This window comes from Homo sapiens, chromosome 20 (assembly GCF_000001405.40).
Source record: "Homo sapiens chromosome 20, GRCh38.p14 Primary Assembly".
NCBI classification, from domain to species: Eukaryota; Metazoa; Chordata; class Mammalia; order Primates; family Hominidae; genus Homo; species Homo sapiens.
Window position 1 is genome coordinate 56,068,382 of NC_000020.11, and position 17,409 is coordinate 56,085,790.

Here is a 17,409-nt window from a genome sequence, read left to right on the forward strand (position 1 = left end):
TAATTAGCAGCAACTTGACTGTGTTTCTCATCTACTGTGGAAATAGGAAATAACTGGAGCTCACAGGGCAAATTACCTACTACTAGTTGCTATCCCCAGACAGTGACCAAGAGACTTGTAACCACAGCCACAGAAGTAGACGGACTAATTTCAGGACCCTATCCCAAAATGTTACCCTTCCCCAAGCTGGTGTACTAGAGAGACTACTGCATGTTAAGCAATAGAGACCTAAGTTTAATTATCAGCTACATGACAAATGATGCATTATTTAATTTCACTGAGGCCAGTTGCATCTATTATTGAATGAGAATGCTAAAACCTCCCCCCAGGGTTGTTATGAGGTATATATGAAATAGAATGTGTTGATTCTCAACAGATCCTATGGCAGAGATTAGGTACCAAATGCATGCTCACTCTCCTTCTTGACTTAGATTTCCAGAAATTTCTCTAATTAGTGACACTCAGTGACAGCCCTTTTCACATTCAGAAATCAGCAAGGGATTGGGAATGGCTGGAGAGGCAAGTACCTGTCCCCAAATATTCAGGCAAAAATCTGTAACTGTTAAAAACAAGGAATAACTGCCAAAAAGTAAATATGACATATACAATAGTGAAATAGCTCATAATTCTATTTACTTCAAGCCTGTATTTAATAAATGGAAATGCAAAAATCAAGATGGAGAAAAAAAACTATAGTAACTTTCTCCAGGGAGAAAAAACAAAACAAAAAACATGGGGCTTACTGGTGTCTTCAGTTAAAAGCATTCTTGTAAAGATGTGTTTTGTTGGCAGTGTTTGTTGGCAGATGCTATTCAGAACCAAGGACAGGGCAACCCTTTGGTCAAATATACTGAGGTCTGCACCAACAGGATGCTGGAACACTGAGAACAATTCTTCACGCATCATCCTCATGATGATACTTTGCATCAAAACAGCACTTCATATTTTTCAAACAATTTTCAAATACTTTATCACAGTTGAGGAGTATGAGGCAAGCAATGCAGATATCTCATTTTACAGATAAGAAAACTGAGTTGTAGAGAAAGAGAGAGAGCTACCAAAATGGTTGTACTGCACACTAAACCCAAGCCCAGACTATTATATTTTTAGAATTACAAGGGTGATACTTTGAGCTGAAATATGTCAAACTGGCATGCCTATGCAATTTTCCATATACTTCAGATATTTATTTCATATAGAGGCAGGGTCTCACTCTGTTGCCCAAGCTTGAGTACAGTGGTGCAGTCATTGCTTTCTGCAGCCTCAAACTCCTGGGCTCAAGTGATCCTCCCACCTCAGCCTCCATAGTAGTTAGGAATACAAGCATGCACCATGCCCGGCTAATTTTTTAATTTTTGTAGAGATGAGGTCTCTCTCTGTTGCCAAGGCTCATCTCCAACTCCTGGCCTCAAGCAATCCTCCTGCCTCAGCCTCCCAAAGTGCTGAGATTACAAGGCATGAGCCACCATACCTGGCAGAGATATTCTTTTTAAAAATAAAAAAAAAACTCACAATTTAGAAATTCTTTCTTTCAAATGTATCTGATTAAGAATTATGAAGAAAACATTCTAAAATCAATATTTTAAAACTAGTTTGCATCATAAACTAGAAGAGAATGGAAACTTGTGTCAAACGATAGCCAGTCCATGAACGTTTTTGCTGTGATTTTTAGAAGACGTATCTGCATACCACCAGCTTCCATACAGAGCTCTTTGATGGTAGGTGGTGGCAAAGAAAACAGGCTTTATAGAAGTTTCTACACAACAGTGTGAGAGGCTTCCATGAATGGAAAGCCTCTTAGTTCAAGCTGTCTTAGTTCCTGAGGAAACGTGTCTGGCTATTGCAAAAGATTTTGTTGAACAAGGGCACAAATCAAGGTGAAGTTCTTCTCCTTTCCTTGAAGCAGAGATGACTACAAATAGAACACAGTAATAATAGGCAGGCAGGACTATTATATTCTTTTAAAAATTGGGCACAGCAAGAAGTTGATAGCTCCTAGGTAAATGTGACAGGAATTGAAAGCACAATAGAATCTAAATCCATCCAACTGCCAAACAGTAATATCCTGACAAAATTAGGGTTTTTTTTTACGAAAGAATGCATTTCCCCACCATCTTCTCTACCCTCCTAGTTTTCCTTCTATGGAGAGTTCCACTAACAACATCTTAATTGATTACGACTGATTGGAATTTTAGTCACTCCAAAGACTACACTTGGCCCCGCCCCCAAGGGCCATTTTAAAGCGATGTATTTCAGCACTATGTGGTGTTCATGCAGATAGCAAGTTGTTAATAGAATCTAGGAAGATGTTCTTTGGCAGAAAATGATTTCATAGACATTTTTCATTATGATAGATGTGGTATTACAGCTGTTATATAAAATTTCAAGCTGTGTTGCAGCTTTGTCACTAGTGTTATAAATCACTCACTCGTATATTAAAGTCTGTGGAAAGCAACTGGAGGGGAAAAAAACTCTCATCTTCTATTTACAGACTAGGTATAATTTGGCATTATTCTTAAAGGTTCAAGGCAGCTTAGAGAATCTGTATTCAGTGCTTATGTGAGGATCAGGAGATCACATTCCATTACTGCTGAGTTGGGAAGGAACCATCCACACAGTGAGTTAACATTTTCTGCCATAAATGTGAAGGTAAAGTAAGTTCATGCTTCCAAGAGACTGGGGACAGAGAACTCCATTGCCATTTGCAAGATAAGCTAGGAAGAGAATTAATTAAAATTAATAAATTATATACATTAGAAGCAGTTTTGTGCCAGTAATACAATTTATTTTATACAATGGAAGTATGTGTACATATTGGTCTTTCTGTCTTTGTAGGCAATCAAAATATGTAACTCTATACTATAATACCAGTTGAGCAAAGAAGGTCCTAATTTGAAGTATTCCAAATTTAAGTATGCCCTCTCTCTCTCTCTCTCTCTCTAAACCATATTAGATTTTGAGTAATTTAAACAGAGTATGGGAGAAAAAAACAGAGAGGCAAAGACTGATCACAGAAGTACACTTGCTCATTTTTCTGTATAGTGTACACCGCTTTTAGCCCTCCTCACATAGGTGAGATTCCTTTTGATCACAGTGGTCTGAAACCCAATTGCTAATTGGTGGAGGTAGAGTGGGGATATGGACCGAGGGGATTTCCCCATCATCTACAGCTAAACCTCTAAGCCAGTGGTCCTCAACAGGGAGGTTATTTTGCCTGCCAGGGGCCATTGCCAATGTCTGGAGACATTTTTCATTGTCAGAATTAGAAAGGGTTCCACCAGCATCTGACGAGTAAAGGCCATGGATTCTGGTAAACATCCTACAATGCACAGAATAGCCCCCACAACAAAGCATTATCTGGCCCGCAATGTCACAGTGCTGAGGTTGAGAAACTGGTCTAGGGTTAACCAGGCAAACCCTCCAGTCAAGAGGGTTGTGATGATCTGATCTTTTTTGATTGGTCTTTTAAGGAAAGTAACTGTGAGCCCAGGGTGGATTCTGATTCCAACTTCATTTTCATTATTGGGACATGGTTCTACTATTTACAGAGATGCAAGAATGTTATATTTCTAAACAAAAGAGGCTTTCACCCGAGGAATTGGGGCATTCATTTTCTTCAGTGCAGACCTTTGAATGTCCTGTAGGAAACAAAATGGAGCACAACAGCAGTTATGCTCTGTTTGAAGAACGCACTTTCCACTCCTGAGAAGAAAAACTATCATAGGATGGTGCAAGGGTTCAGGCCAGTCTGTAAATGTCCCAGAAAATTCTCTGTAACTGTGTTACTAACACAATTACTGAAGGGGAAAGAATGGAAAGAGAATACAAAGAAGGGAGGGATGGAGGCCATTACACACTAAAATTTTGTCCCAGTTAATTCTTAAAATCCTGTAATTGGGTTGTGTTTTGTATAATTTGTACCAAGGAAAACATGAAGTTCAAAGCTATTGGGTAACTTGGCCCAAGTCCCATCCCTAGTAAATAAAAGAGCTGGAATTTGGACCCAGTCTGTCTGAATATAAATTCCTTTTTTTTTAGCTTTGTCACACCATAAGATGCCACATTAGAGAATCATTCCTATGCTTAACTCATTCTTGATCACAGGAGCCAGTGTGGGAAAGTGGTGACAGACTGGGCTTACTGCTTTGAAATAACAAATTTGGTAAAAGTCAAACGTGGTTATGAAATCCAAAGAGACTCGTTGATTAATGAGCAAATCTTCATCAATTCTAGATTGCACGTGAATAGAAGCACACAAATACACACAGGCAAACACTACGATGGGAGCACAAAGCCAATGAAAGAAAAGCTGCTCTCCGACTCCTCTCAAGTATCTTCTCTGCCAGTGTTTCCCTAGAACACGGAGGTTTGATTTGCATTATGTTAAGGAAATTTTTTTGTGATTTCACTCCCCAAAAAGTGTTCTCTGATTATTTAAGACTTACTACTCTGCTTTCTAGAAAGATTTAAAACACATGCAATTTGAACTTCCCCTATGTCGTTACAATCAGGCCACAAAGAATTTCCCATTTTGTATTTTAAACCATTAGATTAATAGTTTTTGATCTCAAATATGCACCACATCTGAGAAAGTATGTCATGCCTCCTTGGAAATAATAATTTTCAGGGGCTCCTCACATCATTCAAAAGACCAAAGCCTATTATTCAAAGTCCACCACTATTCGATCTCAAACCACACTCCCCAACCTTTCTCTCCACAACCAAATTACTAACTTGTTTCTCAAAGCCATCCCACATATTCTCACCTCTTCATCTGACTCTCTCCATTTATCCTGCCTAGTGGGCCTCCCCTTTCCCTCCTCCATCCTCCAGACTCAGCATGTATCTGAAGCCCATCATTCCACGGGAGCTCACCCCAGTGAATCCAATAGACACTGAACATAAGTTTGGCCCATTCATTGAGCAACTATTAATTCAACAAGTACTTACTAAGTCTCTCTATGATAGTCAGTGATCTGTTTGCACACATAAGCTTGTCTGCTCCACTAGACTATAAGCTCTTTGAAAATAAAGGTATGCCTTATTTACCTCATTAACTCCAGAATAACACCAGGTCAGGCACCCAGCACACTTTCAATAATGTTCACAACACAGTAATATTGCAGACATGATTACTTTGCTCTCTACAACTATAAGACACTGGAACTCATCCAAATGCCCAACCACTGAAGAATGGTAAAGTAGATTAAGATACATCAAGAAGCAGAAAATTAGGAAGTATGTAAGCAATCATTACAAACACTATGGCTCCTTCTCCTCTTGCAAATCATCCACACCAATTCCCATTCTCTTCACTCTGGAAAAACTGACTTCTCTTAACTCACATCCTCACTATACCCAGGACAGACTTTTTATAAGAACATTCACAGCATGCTAGAATTACATTCTTATGGGGAGAAGTATAGATTTGGACGAGATACCTTCATTAGCCACTTGAATAAACGATGAACCCCAAAGAGCATTCTAGGTTATTAAGAAAAGACTGTGAAACCACCTTCTAAGGAAAATCGGAGACTTTGGGTTTGTAGAAATATGGGCATTCAAGTTTGGTAGTAAAGCTGAACTGCTCAGATAACAGAAAAAAAAGACCAAATGCTCTGTAAAGGAAGCATGAAGGAGAAAGAAAGAAAAATGCCAGTAAGGATATAGGAGAGAGAAATTATGGAACTCAATGAGATGTAGTGAAGGTTTTGAGGAATTTATTATCAGGCATGTGATGGAAGGCTAGCTCTCCATTGGTCTCTTCTGTTTCTGCACTGACCTTTGTCTCAGACTGTCTTTCCAAGGACACTTGTATAGCAAAGAGCTTTGGAAGTTAGAGGCAGTGTCTCCTTCCAGAGCAAATGGCAGATTTGTTCATTTCTAATATAAAAAAGACAATGTTTACCCCAAGGCAAATATCTGGCAGGCTTATTGCCCATTAGAAAATATTCAAGTTTCAGCTGAGCATGGTGTTTTGGGCCTATAATCCCAGCTACTCAGGAGGTTGAAGCAAGAGGATCACTTGAGAGACTAGGACTTCGAAACTAGCCTGGGCAACACAGGGAAACCTCTCTCTTAAAAACTAAAAAAAAAAAAAAAAAAAAAAAAAAAAGCCAGGCATGGTGGCATGGTGAAGCCTGTAGTCCCAGCTACTAGGCAGGCTGATGTGGAAGGATTACTTCAACGCTATAGTGAACTATGATCACACCACTGCCTCCTGCCTGGGTGACTTCATCTCTAAAAAAATTAAAAAACTAAATTCTAAAAAATTCAAGTTTCCTAAATTTGGTATTCTTCTCTTGTAACCAATGTGCTGCATGTGCAGATGTTATCTGGCTCTCTTTGTGTCACCCTGTGGGATTTGGCTCAGGCAACAAAAAAAGATGCTGATACTCTGACAATTATTATTGCTATGAATAACAAAATGCCTTTTGTCTCTGACCCAGGAGTTTCATGTCTTCTGCTAGCATCCACGAAACTGTGGCAGGCCACACAAAAGTATAATGAGATCCAAAGATCTTGAAAGTGTGTTGACGTAAACACTTTCTTAAATCTAGCCTATGAAATCTTAAGTAAGTTTTGCATTGTTTACCAATGTTTCTGTTGTAGATGGCTTGTTTTGGGAGAATGCAGAGTTTCTAGAGTCAGTGTCTAGATTGATACATTAAAAAATCAGAGAAATCACCATGTGGACAGTGGAAGTAGACCTTGAGGATACACTTAAATAGTTGAGAGATCTTTCCTATTCTGAGCTTCGTGAAGGAAGAGATCATATTCTGTCTACTTTACAGCCCCTGTGTTAGCCGAGTGCCTGACTTGAAGTAACATCACACCCAGTAAAGGCTGGATGATTGAATGACTGAATGGCATAGGGCACCATGCTTATAATGCACCCTTGATAGTCAACACCCAAACTGTTCCTTTTAAAATATGAACCTGGCCATTTCACTTCTCTTCCCTCAACTCTTAGACGACTTTCTGTCATGCTTAGGATACAAGCAAAAGCTCTTCTTAAGGCCTCCAAGGACCCATATAATCTGAGCCTTGACTCTATTCTTCTCCCACTTATGTCCTTGCTCCCTGCTTGCCATATTCTTCCCTTAGACATTCAGATGTCTCACTCCATTTGATATGGTTTGGATCTGGATCCCCACCCAAACCTCATGCCAAATTTTAATCCCCAGTGTTGGAGATGGGACCTGGTGGGAGGTGACTGGATCATGGAGACAGGTTTCTCTTGAATGGTTTAGCACCATCCCTTTGGTGTTGTTCTCATGACAGTGAGTAAATTCTCACGAAATCTGGTTGTTAAAAAGTGTGTGTCACCTCTCCCCCATCTCTCTTCCTCCTGCTCCTGCCATGTAAGACGTGCTGCTTCCCCTTCATCTTCCACCATGATTGTAAGTTTCCTGAGGCCTCCTTAGAAGCAGAAGCCACCATGCTTCCTGTACAACCTGGGAAACTGAATCAATTAAACCTTTTCTTTAAAAATTACCCAGTCTCAGGTATTTCTTTTTAGCAGTGCAAGAATGGACTAATACACCATTGTATCCAAATTTCACCTCATCAGAGATGCTTTCTGCAAACACCAATCTAAAAGAGCACCTCGTCCCTCTCCCACTTTATCATACTTTTTTTTTAATTCACTCTTCATAGTACCTGCCATTCTATTATGTATTGATTTGTTTGTTTGCTTATTATCTGTCTCCCTAACCAGACTGTCAGCTCCACCAGGGCAGGGACTTTGTTTCATTCACTAACTATATCCCAGCATTTAAAGAGTTCTTGGGATGTAGTAGGAGCTTAATAATTAAGTGTGCAATGAATGGATTAGAGAAGAGGAGGAGAAGGAAGGAAAGGGAATGAAGGAGATGGGGAAGAGAGGGGAAGAAGGGAGTGAAAAAAAAGAGAGAAAAGGATGAAAGAAAGAAGAAAAAAGGCAGCCACCATAATAAGAAGCATCACTAATTGATGCTGCTGAGCTGCAAGGGTCTCAGAGAGGGTCTCAGGGTCTGTATCCTCTTCTATTGTAATGGGATATCCTTTTCTGGCTTCCAAAAACAGCCCTTTCCCTCTAATAGCTGTTATGTCAGAAATGGAAACAAAGATAGTGTCTCTGATTAAGTGATGCATTCTGGGAAACCGGTACAACTTCCTGGTACAGAGGCAGGAAATTTTACCTCAACCTGCAAGGAAAAGCTAATCGGAGTCCTTTGGCTTTCTCTTTCCCAGCTTCTCATTTAAGTAAGTAGTTACTGATGGCTACAAGATATTCTAATACCACTGCAAATGCCTGGCTGGGTTTTAGCTGTTTTCACACTTGAATTTTCTGCTTTAATAACTGGAACATAGAAATCTTAGTTAAGTTCGGTCATAAGCCTTGAATAAAATGAATCATTTAATCATGAAGAAAATTCCCCAGTTGAAATAAACAAGCAGATTTTAAACAATTCTATATATCTAGGGTTTCACAATATTCTCAAAGGAGACATGTATAAAAATTATAAATATCTAAAATAATCCTGTATCTTAGAGAGCTTAGACAGCCTCAGCTCCAGTGAATGAATGTAAAGTACAAAGTAAATGAGGCTTAATTGCATTAGAACACCTGCATAATTGATCATTTCACCACAACTGCAGTCTAAAATCATGATGTCTGAGGTGATCAAACTGCACTGTGGGAAGTAAATAGTAAAGCCTTTTCAGGTCAGATCCAGCCCCTCAAATCTTTCTGTTGATTTTATTTGTTTGGCTTTTGGTTGATTGGTTGCTCTGTCTGTTGGGTTTCTGCCTCCTTCTTGTTCCTGAGACCATTTATAATGAATTTGCATGTAATGGAGTTTCAAGGAAGTTTGAAGATATCTAGGTGCTTCTGCTTGGTGGTAATAGAAGATGAGGGGATATTACAACACAACCAGAGGACTCTAACTCAGGTCCTGTGTGATAAAAATAAACAAGCCTACACTAGGGCAGATTTTGAATCCGAGAGGAGAGGGGACTGTGTTTCAAACCCACCCTATTTAAGTTCCATTCTACTTAGGTTCCCCTCGGCTTTAAAAGCTGTAAGGCAGAGATCAAAACCCTTTTGTAAACTGCCTCTAAGTAACGCAGCAAATGGCTTCTTGCAGCTAAGGCTGGATCATTACAGTACAAAGCAGCAGTATTAAAGTAGGAGACTCTTTATTTCAGGGGAAAGGCTCATTTCCTGCAAAAAAAATTTTTACAATTTGCATTGGGCTCTTTAATAGTATCTAACTGATAGATTTCAATTATACAGGAACAAAAAGTAAGTGTGGCCACTGCTTACAGGCTGGAGATCAGTCATGTATCCTGGAAATCTTATCATTAGAGGGGGAATCCAACCTTTGGCCCCAGTGAAGAATTTTACTCATCTACCTAGAAGATGACTGAAAAGAAACCCGGAGTGTAATGAGAGAATTAGTGCCGCAGCCAGTGCACACAGAATGATTTTAAATAAAGTATGAATTATTCTCAGCTGTTGAGACTTTATTCATAGGAAAGAGAAAGCCAGACACAGCAAAGAAGAATAAAAAACACGGCCTGAAGATCCCATGTTCTCTCAAAACCCTAACCCTTCTATTCTGAGTATTCATCAATATTTAATTTCCTCATTTATTTTATCTTTCCATTTCCACAACCCTGTGTTCTGTTCAGCTGAATGGTGCTGTGTGTCTAGACACCAGTGAAAATTGGTAGCCTCACATGAATGGTGACCCATTACTCTGTTGAGTTCACTAAGTACACGTTGAGTGCCTATTGTGTGCGAGGCTCTGAAATATGAAGACAGGAAGAGACAACTCCAAACTATTACTAGAAATTCATCCCTGGAGCCAGACAGCAAAGGTCTCATTTGGCCACTCACTACTCTGTGACATCACTTAACTTTCCTCATTTGCAAAATGTGGATAACAATACTACCCATCACAGCGTTGGACAAATATTATATGTTAATATTTGTAAAATACTTAGAATAGTGGCAGTGTCATATCATGTTAGCTTTACTATTACTTTGTAGGAGGCTTCAGACTAGGAAAAGAAACAAAAACAATAATTCCAACCTTAAAGGATAAATGCTGTGATATTGATTAGCACTAGAGCTTTGAGAGTACAGAGGAAGGCCTAAATGGGAAGGAGGGGAGTTGGACTGAAATAAGGAAAGATTTTCAATAAGAGATGAAACCTAACTAAAATGTTTTTGAAAGAAAACAAAAACCTAACCAGTAGCCTATACCAGCTGTACAAATTTCCACTTCTGCCTTAAGAAGCGGGCTTTTCTCTACAGCTCATTCCTTTTCCCAAAACTAAAGCTTAGAATCATATTTACATAGGGAAATTCTTCCTGCTCCAGCTTCGCCCAAGAGTATACTCTTTCTGCAGGCCTCTGCACTTCTGGTAGGTATCACCTACTTCCAGTAATTAAGAACATGGAAACGGATGCAAGATTGCTGTGGGTCAAATTCCAGTTTTGCCACTCCTGGCTCTGAAACCTTAGACAAGTTACTTAACCTTATGATGATTCAATTTCGTCAGAGGTAAAATGGGGACCATAATAGTGCCTACCTCTGGGTGGTTATGAGGATTAAATAAATTAATAGTTGTGAAGCATTTAGAACAATGCCTGGCATATTATAAGTACTATGTGGATGGAGATGATGATCATTGACACTTTTTTAAAAACAACAATTTTCCCAAGATCAGAAGTGGCAGTCTTGGTCTGTAGAATCCTGTTGACCAACTCAAGTCTTTTTGTTTTCAACAGCTTTAGGAGTTACATTTGACATAAATACATTGCAGACATTCAGTGTATAAAATTTGATAACTTTTTCCCAGCCACTCAGGAGGCTGAGGCAGGAGAATGGCGTGAACCCGGGAGGCGGAGCTTGCAGTGAGCCGAGATCGCACCACTGCACTCCAGCCTGGGAAACACAGTGAGACTCCATCTCAAAAAAAAAAAAAAAAAAAAAAAAAAAAAAAATGATAACTTTTGAAACGTGTATACCTGTAAAAAAAAAAAAAAAAATACCATCACCATAATTAAGATAAATTTCCTTTGTAATCCCTACCACGGTCACCTCCTTCCCTATCTCATCCTTGTGCAACCGTTAATCTGCATTGTCATTATAGATTAGTTTGCATTTTACAGAATTTTATATAAATGGAACCATCCAATGTGTACTCTTTTTTGGTCTGGCTTTTTTCATGCAGCATAACCATTTTGAGATTCATCCAGGTTGTAGCAGGTATCAGTGGTTCATTCTTTGTCATTGAGGAGTAGCAGTATGTGAATAAAACATAGATTGTTTATCCATTCACCTGATGACTGGCTTTTGGGTTGTTTCAGTTTGGGGCTATTAAAAATAAGCTGCTATGAACATTCATATGTGCATCTTTGTATGAATACATGCTCTTATTTACCTTGGGCACATGGCTAAATATGGTTCCTGTAGGTTTAACTTTTGAGAAACTCCCAAACTGCTTTCCACATGGTTGTACCATTTTACCCTCCCTTCAATAATGTGTGTTTCTTCCCAGTTTCTCCACATCCTCACCAATCCTTGGCTTGGTCAGTCTTTTTGATTTTGCCCATTCTACTAGGTATGCAGTGGTATCTCAATATAATTTTAATTTTAATTCCCCTAACAAATAATGATGCTGAGCATCTTTTCAGATGCTTATTTGTCATATATATTTTTTATCTGATGAAGCCTCTTTTCAAATCTTTTGCCTATTTTTAGTTGGGTTGCTTGATTTCTCATTAGTGAGTTTTGAGGGTTTTTGATATAATCTGGATATAAGTTCTTTATCAGATATACGATATGCAAATATTTTCTTCGAGTGTGCTTCTTGTCTGTTTATTCTTCTACAGTGTCTTTTAAAAAGGAGATATTTTTAATTTTGATGAAGTTTATCAATTTGTTTTGTTATGGATCATGCTTTTGATTTAGTGTCTAACAAATCTTTACCCAAATCAGGTCTCAAAGAATTTCTCCTATGGCTTTTTTCCTAGACTTTTTATGGTTTTAGGCTTTATATTTAGGTCTAAGATTCTGTTTGAGGTAATTTTTTATATGATTAGGGATATGAACCAAAGTTCATTTCTTTACATGTGGATAGCCGATGGTTTCAGCACCATTTGTTGAAAAGAATATCCTTTCTATGCTGAATTGTCTTGCACCTTTGTCAAAAGCAGTTGTCTATATATGTAAGGGTCAATTTCTGGACTCTCTATTCTGTTCCATTTACATATTTATCTATCTTTTAAGCCAGTACCACACTGTCTTGATTATTATAGGTCTGTAATGAGTGTTAAAATCAAGTAAAATTCATCTACCAATTTTTTTCTTCTTTTTCAAAGTAGTTTTGGCTATTCTAGATCCTTTGTCCTTCCATATGAATTTTAGAATCAGCTTATTGATTTCTATCCAAATTCTTGTTGGAAACTGTAAAAATCCTAGAAGAAAACCTAGGAAATGCCATTCTGGATATGGCCCTTAGGGAAGAATTTATGACTAAGTCCTCAAAAGCAATTGCAACAAAAACAAAAATTCACAAGTGGGACCTAATCAAACTAAAGGACTTCTGCACAGCAAAAGAAACTGTAAACAGAGTAAACAGACAACATACAGAATGGGAGAAAATATTCACAAACTCTGTATCTGACAAAGTTCTAATACCCAGAATCTATAAGAAACTTAAACAACAGAACAAGAAAAAAACAGCCCCATGTTTAAAAAATGGGCAAAAGTCATGAACAGAGACTTCTCAAAAGAAGACATACAAAAATCCAACAAACATATGAAGAAATTTTTATCATCACTAATCATCATAGAAATGCAAATCAGAATGACAATGAGATACCATCTCATGCCCATCAGAATGGTTATATTAAAAAGTCAAAAAAACAACAGATGTGGAGAAAAGGAAATGCTTATACACTGTTGGTGGGAATTTACATTTTTTTAGCCACTGTGGAAAGCAGTTTGGAGATTTCTCAAAAAACTGAAAACAGAACTACCATTCAAAACCCAGCAATCCCATCACTGGGTATATATCCAACAGAAAACAAATCCTTCTACCAAAAAGAAGCATGCACTTGCATGTTCATTGCAGCACTATTCACAATAGCAAAGTCATGGAATCAAACTAAGTGCCCATCAATGGTGGACTGGAAAAATAAAATGCGCTACATATACACCATGGGATACTATGCAATCATTATAAAAAAAAAAGAAATCACATCCTTTGTAGCAACATGAGTGCAGTTGGAGGCCATTATCCCAAGCAAATTAATGTAGGAACAGAAAACCAAATACAACATGTTCTCACTTATAGGGGAGAGCTAGACATTGGATACTCATGGACATAAAGATGGCAACAATAGACACTGCGGACTACTGGTGGGGCAGGGAGGAGAAGGAAGGTGCAGGGGTTGAAAAACTTACTGTTGCATACTATGCTCAGTAACTGGTTGACAAGATCATTCATACCCCAACTCAGCATCACACAATATACACAGGTAATAAACCTGCACAGGTAGCCCCAGAATCTAAAATAAAAGTTGAAAAAAATTCTCACTGGGATTTTAATTGAGATCAGATTGGATATATAGATCAATTTGGGGAGAATTCACATCTTATACAAAAGTGAATCTTTTTTTTTTTGTACTTTAAGTTTTAGGGTACATGTGCACATTGTGCAGGTTAGTTACATATGTATACATGTGCCATGCTGGTGCGCTGCACCCACTAACTCGTCATCTAGCATTAGGTATATCTCCCAATGCTATACCTCCCCCCTCCCCCCACCCCACCACAGTCCCCAGAGTGTGATATTCCCCTTCCTGTGTCCATGTGATCTCAGTGTTCAATTCCCACCTATGAGTGAGAATATGCAGTGTTTGGTTTTTTGTTCTTGCGATAGTTTACTGAGAATGATGATTTCCAATTTCATCCATGTCCCTACAAAGGACATGAACTCATCATTTTTTATGGCTGCATAGTATTCCATGGTGTATATGTGCCACATTTTCTTAATCCAGTCTATCATTGTTGGACATTTGGGTTGGTTCCAAGTCTTTGCTATTGTGAATAATGCCGCAATAAACATACGTGTGCATGTGTCTTTATAGCAGCATGATTTATAGTCCTTTGGGTATATACCCAGTAATGGGATGGCTGGGTCAAATGGTATTTCTAGTTCTAGATCCCTGAGGAATGGCCACACTGACTTCCACAATGGTTGAACTAGTTTACAGTCCCACCAACAGTGTAAAAGTGTTCCTATTTCTCCACATCCTCTCCAGCACCTGTTGTTTCCTGACTTTTTAATGATTGCCATTCTAACTGGTGTGAAGGCATGGGCAAGGACTTCATGTCCAAAACACCAAAAGCAATGGCAACAAAAGACAAAATTGACAAATGGGATTTAATTAAACTAAAGAGCTTCTGCACAGCAAAAGAAACTACCATCAGAGTGAACAGGCAACCTACAAAATGGGAGAAAATTTTCACAACCTACTCATCTGACAAAGGGCTAATATCCAGAATCTACAAAGAACTCAAACAAATTTACAAGAAAAAAACAAACAACCCCATCAAAAAGTGGGCGAAGGACATGAACAGACACTTCTCAAAAGAAGACATTTATGCAGCCAAAAAACACATGAAAAAATGCTCATCATCACTGGCCGTCAGAGAAATGCAAATCAAAACCACAATGAGATACCATCTCACACCAGTTAGAAAAGTGAATCTTTCAACCCATGGACATCTCTCTCCATTTATTTAGAATTTAGTTTCTCTCAGAAATGTGTTATAGTTTTCATACATCGTCCTTTATTTTTGTAGTTTCAATTCATAGGTCCTTTACATTTTTGTCATATTTATTCCCAAGTACTTCATGTTTGTGATACTGTTGTAAATTGTATTTTTTTAATTGAGATTTCCAATTGTCTGTGGCAAATTGACTTTTTATATTAATCTCAAATCTGAAGTACACTAAATTTATTTACAAGTTCAAGATGCTTTTTTCTGGATTCTACATAAATAATCATGTCTTCTGCAAAGAAAATTTTGCTTCTTCATTTCCAATCTGGAAGTTTTTTCTTTCTTTGTCTTGCCTTATTCTATTGGCTAGAAGCTCTAATACAATGTGGAATAAAAGTGGTGGGAGTACACATCTTTGCTTTGTTTCTGATCTTAGGGAAAAGCATTTGATCTTTCAACATTAAGTATGATGTTAGCTGTAGGTTTTTGTACTGTCCTTTATTAGGCTGAGGAAGTTTCCTTCCATTAATACTATGAGTTTGCTGAGAGGTTAAATCAAAAATGAATGTTGAATATTTTTAATGCGTTTTGCTGCATCTATTGAGATGCTCACATTTTATTTTTTATTTTATAATATGGTGAATTACATCAATTAAGTTTGAGTATTGAAGCAACGTTGCATTTCTGGGAAAAATCCCAATTAATCATGATGTGTGTGTGTATGTGTGTGTATGCACATACATGTGTATATATGTGTATATTAGTTAAATTTCACTTGTCAAAATCTTGTTTATAATTTTTATTTGTGTTCATGAAATATTTTTATCTATAATTTTATATTCTTGTAATATTTTACTTAGGTTTGGATATAGGCTAATATTGACCTCATCTAACGAGTTGGGACATAGTTCTCCCTATTCAGTTTTCTACAAGAGTTTGTATAAAATTGTCATCATTACCCCCTTAAGTGTTTGGTAGAATTCTTCAACAAAACCATCTGGACCTAAAGTTTTCTTTGATGGAACGTTTTTAAACAACAAATTAAATTCCTTTAATAGATATAGGGATACTCTGGTTATATATTTCTTCATGAGTAATCTTTGGTAGTTGATGTCTTTCATGGAATATTGACCATTTTATCTAAGTTGTTGAGCTTATTTACATAAAGTTGTTTATAATATTCCCTTATTAACCTTTTAAAATTGTATTATCTACATTAATGTCACCTCTCACATCTGATATTGGTAATTTGTGTCTTCTATCTTTATTTTCTAGTCAGCCTCACTAGACACATATCAATTTTTTAATCTTCTCAAAAAGACACCTTTTAGTTTTATTTTTTCTATTTATTTTCTGCTTTCTATTTTATTGATTTCTGTTCTAATGTTTTTTCTACTTATCTTGAGTTTAATTTGGGTTTTTTCCCTAGTTTCTTAACCTGGAAGCTGTGATCTTTGATTCAAGACCTTTCTTCTCTTCTAATATCAGCATTTAGTACTATAAAATTCACCGTAAGTATTATTTAGCAGTATATTGTAAATTCAATGTGTTGCGTTTTATTTTATTTAGTTCAAAATGCTTTCTAGTTTTCATTTGTTTTCTTCTTTGACCCATGGGTTGTCTAAAAGTGTGTTACCTTGTTTGGAGATTTTCCAGAAATCTGTTATTGATTTATAAATTACTTTCATATTTTTGCATGATTTAAATCTTTTGTAAATTTATTAAATCTTGCCTTGTAGTCCAGAATACAGTCTATCTTGATAAATGTTCAATGTATATTCTACCTCCACTCAGTGGAGCATTTTATAAAACTTAATTAGGTCAAGTGGGTTGATAGTGTTGTTCAGATATTTATATTCTTATTGATTTTCTGTCTACTTAGTCTACAAATTACTGAGAAATAGTTATTTAATATATTTGACTATAGTTGCAGATGTGTACATTTTTAATAATGTTATCAGTTATTGCCCAGGTATTTTGAAGTTCTGTTATTAAGGGCATAAACCCTCAGGACTGTTATATTCTCTTGAAGAATTGACTCCATTATGACTATGAAATTACAACCTTTCTGTCTAGTAATATTCTTTGACCTGAGATTTACCTTTCTTCATTAATATAACTGTTCTAGCTTTCTTTCGACTGGTGTTAGTATAGTACAGTCTGTTCTTATCATTTGTGGTAGCTGTGTTTTATAAAGTCACTGTGAACACTGAAGTAGCAAATATTGAACCATTGCACCTAAAAGAAATATGTATATACATATCTCATATAAATTATAATCTTAAATCCTAAAAGTAGTTCATCATGATGTATTCTATTTGCTTGATATTTAAAAAGAGAAAATAAGGTTCAAAAGTGTTAAGTGACTTAACTGAGGTTGTCTCACTAACAAGTGACAGTTAGGATTCAAATTTTATTCAACTGACCCAAGAGTGTTCTTGCACTACACTGTACTATCCCCTACTTTCTTTATCCTCTGGTTATCTCTTTTTAAAAGCTAAAACAAGAATACAAAGTATTGCCTTATTTGTTCTCAGCCAGTAGTCGGGGGTTAGGTGACTCAAATTTTTTGCTATTCTGTGCATCTCCACAGATGGCCACAAAAGCACCAAGAGTATTG